Source organism: Homo sapiens, chromosome 21 (assembly GCF_000001405.40).
Source record: "Homo sapiens chromosome 21, GRCh38.p14 Primary Assembly".
NCBI lineage: Eukaryota > Metazoa > Chordata > Mammalia > Primates > Hominidae > Homo > Homo sapiens.
The window spans coordinates 25,799,519-25,807,356 of NC_000021.9; the positions used below are offsets into that span (position 1 = coordinate 25,799,519).

Genomic DNA, 7,838 nt, shown 5'->3' on the forward strand with positions numbered 1-7,838 from the left:
ATAATGCTAATAAACTAGAAATCAATATAATGAACTTTAGCCTGAAATTCCTTAAATATAAGTCTTTGCATTATGCCCAAGGTATTTTTATTGTATTGTCTTAAAATTTAGATTTTAACATTTCGTTAAGTTTAACGTAAGAAATGTATTCTTTAAGAAAAAACTTCCACTTTGGATGTTTTTTTTGGAAGAAAAATGCCAGGGACATCATCATACCTAGAGAGATTTAAAAACAGAATGAAGCTAAAACCAAAAATTTGGTTTTATACATTTTTTTGAGATGGAGGTTTTGCTTATTGCCCAGGCTGGAGTGTAATGGCATGATTTCGGCTCACTGCAACCTCTGCCTCCCGGGTTCAAGTGATTCTTGCCTCAGCCTCCTGAGTAGCTGGGATTACAGGTGTGCGTCACCACACTTGGCTAATTTTTTTATTTTTAGTAGAGACAGGAGTTTCACCATGTTGGCCAGGCTGGCCTCAAACTCCTGACCTCAAGTGATTCGCCTGCCTTGGCCTCCCAAAGTTCTGGGATTACAGGTGTGAGCCACCGTGCCTAGCCCAAAAATACGTTTTTATTACAGAAAAAAAGTTGGTTTCTTTGGTACAGATTTTTTTCCCCCATAACAACTTGCTATAAAAAAGTAAGACTCACCTCTCTTCTTCCAGCAACCCCCAGGGAATAAGATTATCCATCCAGTAGAGAATAGAACTAGGAAAGATAAATCCCTCTTTGACTTCTGATATTCTATTTTTCTGATGTTTTCTGTACCTCCATTACTGGTTTGACATAATATTTGGCCTTTGAGTTTTTAACTTTTCCCAGTTGTCATTCTTGAGAAAGTGAAAAGATAATAAGTTTCAACATAAATTTGGAGTAAGCTCCAGTTTTCACACAAACACAAATCACAAGGCACTTACAATGTTTCACGAGCTACAAGTCTTTTAAAAATACCACCTATTAGCCATTGAACACAGGGCTGTTACAAACTTATTTATCAGAGGACATAGTTGCTATGCTCTCCATATAACAACAGTTTCAAAAACTTGCAGCCATTAAAACTACATTTTTTTGGCCGGGCGCGGTGGCTCATGCCTGTAATCCCAGCACTTTGGGAGGCCAAGGCAGGTGGATCACCTGAGATCAAGAGTTCGAGACCAGCCTGGCCAACATGGCGAAACCCCATCTCTACTAAAAGTACAAAATTAGCCCGGCGTGGTGGCACGTGCCTGTAGTCCCAGCTATTCAGGAGGCTGAGGCATGAGAATCGCTTGAACCCAGGAGGCAGAGGTTGCAGTGAGCTGAGATCACACCTCTGCACTCCAGCCTGGGTGACCAAGTGAGACTTCGTCTCAAAAAAACAAACAAACAAAAACCTTTTTTTCCTCTCAAATCTTTTGATCCTGAATTAATACAGAATCTTATTCAAGTGGATGCTAACTCCATTGTGTGGAACTTTTTTTCTTTTCTTTTTTTTTTTTTGGACAGAGTCCTGCTCTGTCGCCCAGGCTGGAATACAATGGTGGAATCTCTGCCTACTGCAACCTCTGCCTCCCGGGTTCAAGCAATTCTCCTGCCTCAGCCTCCCGAGTAGCTGGCATTACAGGCCCCCGCCACCACGTCCAGCTAATTTTGGCATTTTTAGTAGGGACGGGGTTTTGCCATGTTGGCCAGGCTGGTCTCGAACTCCTGACCTCAAGCGATCCCCCTGCTTCGGCATCCCAAAGTGCTGCGATTACAGGCGTGAGCTACCGAGCCCAGCCTCTTTGGGACATTTCTTCTTTTCTAAACATACAGCAGTGGTGGTGAAAATATAAAATGAAGATATAAAAAGGCATAGTGATGCTCAAAACCCAAATTAGGGTCTGTGTAGACTGGGAAGCAGCACTTGGACAGAGACAGATGAGTGAGCTGAAGATCCAGGACTGTGGTTGTGGGTCGGAGTTGGGCTCTGTCGGGATAAATCGCTCCGCAGAAGACGGGCTAGAGTCTGCTCACCATTGAAGGAAAGGCCAGTGCGGTTTTTCTGCCCCTGAAATGTTATTCAGAACTCCTGCTGCTGACACTTTACCACTCAGGTTTCTGCGACAGTTGGGTTTCTGTGGACCTGAAGAAGAGGGAGGACACAGACTCACAAGCCGGAACGGCATGCGACGAGCCCCCCAGAGGCCCATAACTGAACTGCAGTGTCTCCAGCCGCGCCCTGTGCAATGATTTGGTTCTGCATTGCGCCCCCTAGAGGTGAGTGGAAGCAATGTCCAAGCTGTGGGCAAGTAGGATTGAGTACCCGAAGGGAGTGAAAGCAAAAAGCAAAACGCAAAAACAGCCAAGGAGCCTGCAAACCAAATATTGAGAATGCATGAAGAAATGCAATGCCAAGAAAGAAAACTGCAAGATCATCATCAAGTAAATGTGGGTCAGATAAAAATAATAGGACAATCTGAAAGAAGACTTTCACATAAATATTTAAGGTACTTCAAGGGAAAATTAAGAGAAATATTCTAAAAAAAAAAAAGTAAAAGGTAGAGAAAAAAATGTAAGACAAAATAGGCATAAATAAACCAACTATGGGTAAACATGAAAAATAACTGATTAGAAATATGAAAAATAAAAATCATAAATATACCTTAAGAAATTGGATAAAGTATATTGGACATAATTGAAGGAGAAAATTAGTTGATGAAACCATTCATGCAGAAATAGTGGATAGATGGAAGGCTTTCCCCATGTATTCAAAAGAAGGTCCAGAAAAGAAAATGGAGGGAAGAGTAGAGAAATTATATTTAAACAGTGACTAGCTAAGGCTTTCTCAGAATCAAGTTCAAACACAAGTTTTTAAATTAGGAGAGGGCTGGGTACAGTGGCTCTCACCTGTAATCCTAGCACTTTAGGAGGCTGAGGCAGGAGGATTGCTTGAGCCCAGGAGTTCGAGGCTGCAGTGAGCCATAATCACATTACTGCAACACTACACTCCAGCATGGGCAACAGAGTGAGATTTTTGTCGCAAAAAAAAAAAGTAAAAGTTAAAACATAAAATAAATTTACTAGAAGGGTAGTTCAAGTACCAAGAATAATGAAAAATAAACCAAAATAAGACACATTATAGTAAAACTAGGAAAATTTAAGTTACTGGGAAAAAAGATTACCACATATTAATAACTGAAGTTATTATCAGCAAAGATAGATGCATAGAGTGAAATAGTATCTTAAATAACCTTAAAGGCCATAATTATTAGCCTAGTGTTTTATACCCAGAGAATGAGGGCTATACTAAGAGTTGGCCACAGATGTCTTCTTAATTAAAAACAATACTGGTTGGGCATGGTGGCTAATGCCTGTAATCCCAGTACTTTGGGAGGCCAAGGCAGGCAGATCACAAGATCCAGGGGTTCGAGACCAGCCTGACCAACATGGTGAAACTCTGTCTCTACTAAAAATACAAAAATTAGACGGGCGTGGTGGCACATGCCTGTAATCCCAGCTACTCAGGAGGCCAAGGCAGGAGAATCGCTTGAACCTGGGAGGCGGAGGTCGCAGTGAGCCAAGATGGCACCACTGCACTCCAGCCTGGGTGACAGAGCGAGACTCCATTTCAAAAAGAAAAATAAAAAATAAAATAAAAACAATACTAACAACAAAAAACTATTAAAGGATATACTTCAGCAGGAAAAAATCTGAACCCAAAGAAAAGGCATTGAGATACAAAAATACTGTAAATATGGAAACTGATAAAATATTTTGGTGAGAATAATATGGACTATGTAAATAAAATTATACCTCTAAGCAAGAAGAAAATGAAAGAGCAGAAAAGCAATAATGAAGCAAATAAAAAGTATGGTGATCAGGAAGATCAGGAAAAGAAAAAGCAAAGAATGAGAATAAGAAAATAGAAACAATTCCAGCTGTGTAAATAATCACTAACGGTAGACAGATTAAACTCACCTTTTAAAGAGACTGAAATGATCAGAATGGATAATAAAGCAAAATCTAGCTGCATGTTGCCTACAAGAGGCATAGGTTAGAATTTTAAAAATAAAGGGATGTATAGTTATGCAAAATGGGAACAGTGAGTGAGAAAAGGGTGCTAAATACCTCCTTGCACATTTTTTGCTGTGGCAAGTTTCTGTGAATATATAGTTATTTCAAAATAGTTATCAAAAAGGGGAGTGGATAAAAAGCTATAGCATTCAAGTATCAACCGAGATAAAGGGGCATAGCAATATTAATACCATACAAAATCGAATATAAGACAAAAAGAATTTAATAGGGATAAAAAGATCAGTCCATAATAATTGAAAGAACAATCCACTGAGAAAATATAATAATTGAGAACCTGAATATACCTATAATAAAACCCAGAACTGTATGAAACAAGTTCTTATGGAATTACCAGGAGAGAGAAAACCACATAGTAGTAAGATTCCAGTATATCACTATCAGAATCTGATAAATTGGACCAAAATTAGTAAGGATGAGATTTACAAAATACATTGGCTTTATCTGATAGATACCTAGAATTCTCTCTCTGGCAAGCAGACATACATTTTTAGAGAGTATTTACAAAAAGTGTACAGGGCATTTCAAAAATTAACCACACACTATATCACTAAAGAAGTTTCAGCAAATGTCAGGGATTGAATATGACATAGACAATGTGCTCGCCTCATCATTCAATTAAATGGTAAATCAACAAATCTGCTTTTTATTTTTTATTATTTTTAGAAATAGGGTATATCACTTTGTCACCTAGGCTGGAGTGCAGTGGTGCAATCATAGCTCACTGCAGCTATGATTGAACCTGGGCTTAAGCCATCCTCCTGCCTCAGCCTCTCTAGTAGCCAGGACTACAGGTACGTGCCACCATGCCTGACTAATTTAAAAAATATTTTGTAGAAATGGAGGTCTCGCTATGTTGCCCATGCTGGTCTTGAACTCCTGGGCTCGAGCAGTCTTCTGGTCCTGGCCTCCCAAAGTGCTGGGATTACCTGTGTGAGCTATCATGCCCGGCAAAGTCAGTTTTTAAAACTATTCATATGGCTGCAAACCTAAGAACTTACTTCAAAAGAATTCCCACAAAAGAATTAACAAAATTCTTAGAACTGAATGATAATTAAAGTAAGTATATCAAAATATATGGGATTCAAATATTCACATTAATTTCTAACTTTAAATGCACTCGTTTAAAAAAGAAACAAGAAAGAAATGAGTGAAGAAGGTGTCTCAAGAGCTAGATAAGGCTGGGTGTGGTGGCTCATGCTGTAATTCCTGTACTTTGGGAAGCCAAGGTGGGAGGATGGCTTGTCCGCAGGAGTTTGAAATCAGCCTGGTCAACATAATGGGACCCCCCCACCATCTCTAGCCCCCCCCCCCCGAATTGTTTTTAATTAGCTAGGTATGCTGGCCTGCACCTGTAGTTCCAACTACTACTGAGGTTGAGGTGGGAGGATCACTTGAGCTCAGCTGTGAGGTTGAGGCTGCAATGAGTTGTGATAGCATCACCATACTCCAACCTGGGTGACAGAGCAAGACTCTGTCTCTTAACAAACAGCTAGATAAATGTAAGGAAACTATAAGAACAGAAATAAAGACAGAAATACAAATGAATGAGATAAAATAGGAAGGAATAGAAAGGGTCAAAAACGATTAGGATTAAGTAAAAGAGAACAAAAATATATGAAATTTAGAAATCATGAGTACTTTGAGCAATTTTATACCAATAAACCTGAAAAATTGTGCAACTGTAATTATCTAGGAAGAAAAGTATTAACAAACTCAAGAAAAATAGAAAAAAATTGATACCCATTTTAATTACACTGATATTATCAAAGCCTCCCTTGATAGGTGTTTCATGGACTCAAATATGTGTCTCAAATCTAATGGCAGATGCTGAAAATTGCAGGCAGGTTATTTAAGACAGTCATTTTACTCATGAATAATTCTGTGTAGTTCTCTTTCCTCTGGAGAGAAGTAGAGGTTTTTCATTTAACAATGATTAATTTTTTTCTAGTTTATCCTGGGGAGTCTGGCTTGTTATAAACAATACTGGAGGAATAATTTTTTGGTAAATACCGTTTGTCTGCCAAATTGATGATCTCTTTAGAGAGTGTTTTTGTTGTCTGGTTGGTGTTTTTTTTTGTTTTGTTTTGTTTTGTTTTTTTTTTTAAGAGATAGGGTGTCACTCTGTCACCCAGGCTGGAGTGCAGTGGTACAATCATGGCACATTGCAACCTTGAACTTCTGGGTTTAAGCAATCCTCCCACCTCAGCCTCCTGTGTCACTAGGACTATAGATGCATGCCACCACACCCGGCTAAAATTAAATTTAAATTTAAATTTAAATTTTTAATTATTTTTTTTTTTGGTGGAGATGAGGGTCTCACTATGTTGCCCAAGCTGGTCCCCAACTCCTGAGTTCAAGTAGTTCTCTCATGTTGGCCTCCCAAAGTGCTGGGATTACAGGCGTGAGCCACTGTGCCCAACCAAGATAAATTCTTGACTGTGGAATTTCTAGATCAAAAGTTTCAGTGCACTTACTGGTTGAGAAAACACCATCCCAGGCACCATCTCCCAGTGCTGCAGAGGGGAAGACTACATGGAGTTAGAACAGCTAGAGTTCCAGGACTAACCCCACCCTGTCACACATCCTTTCTCACTTAGCTACTGCCAGAACACCAAACCCCTTCAATCTGTATGTCTAGTGAGATCATGTAATTTATTGTCTGAACTTGGACATACACTAAACTGCATGTCAGGATGACACATACATGCGGGGACAGCCTTGGGGGGTTTTGTCATCTTACTCATGACCCCTATTGTTCAAAGCACGTCTCCCATAAATCTGACTTGATCCTCTGTACCCCTGCCCCTACCACGCCCACACCCATATTTTTCACTGTGGCCTTCAGGTCTGCACACAGCAGATCTGCATACATTCGGTCTCTTTGCGAAATGTTTCTTTTGCTTCCTGAATTCACCAGAAATGCAGCTCTCCGTTGTGAACACTCTTCTCCCTTTGACTTGGTGCTGCATTTTAGGTGTTATTGACCGGGTTAAGGGATACGCAGAAACATTTCTGGGTGGGTCTGTGAGAGTGTTTTTGGAAGAGATTAGCATTCGAATCCACAGACTGAGTAAAGAGGATCTGTCCTCATCAATATGGGTGGACATTATTCAATCTGATGAAAGCAGGGATAGAATAAAAAGGTGGAGGAAGGGTGAATTTGCCCTCTCTTCTTGAGCTGGGGCATCTATCTTCTATCCTTGAACACTGGAGCTTCTGGTTCTCAGGCCTTCAGACTCTGGGACTTACATTACTGAGACCGCTGGTTCTCAGGCCTTTGACCTCAGATTGAGAGTAACACCGTCAGCTTCCCTGGCTCTCAGATCTTCAGACCAAGACTGAATGACACCACCAGCTTTCCTGGGTCTCCAGCTTGCACACAGCAGATCATGGGACTTCTCAGCCTCCATAATTGTGTCCAGTTCCTATAACAAATCCGCTGTTACATATCTTATACAAATCCTATTGCTTCCCTTCCTCTGGAGAACTTGACCAATACACACCCTCTTCAGGGGAGCTATTTTTTCTCTTATACTCCTTGTATATCAGGGTGAGAATATAAAATTCAAAGGCTTCCTTCTTGCATTTCACTGCTATTTCCAGACCATTTATCCATCTTTTTGGGGCTGGGGAGTTGGGGGAAGGAAAGATTTCACTCTATCTTTGAGGCTTAGACTACCTGACTTGAAATATTCCCTCCTCTTTATGGCTGTTGTCTGGTGGCATCCCTACCACTCCTCCTCATGGCTGAGGATCGACTGTCAGCTATAAACATTTATCTC

General features: G+C 40.3%; 1 long non-coding RNA gene across 1 annotated transcript; it reads right to left on the reverse strand.

Annotated features, from left to right (window-relative positions):
• Positions 1-632: 632 nt before the first annotated feature.
• On the reverse strand, positions 633-7,475 carry LOC105372757 (uncharacterized). Its single transcript, XR_937622.2, has 3 exons — positions 7,306-7,475; positions 1,996-2,104; positions 633-830 (listed from the first exon to the last, which is right to left on the reverse strand). It is a non-coding gene; the product is annotated as an uncharacterized LOC105372757 (long non-coding RNA).
• Positions 7,476-7,838: the final 363 nt, after the last annotated feature.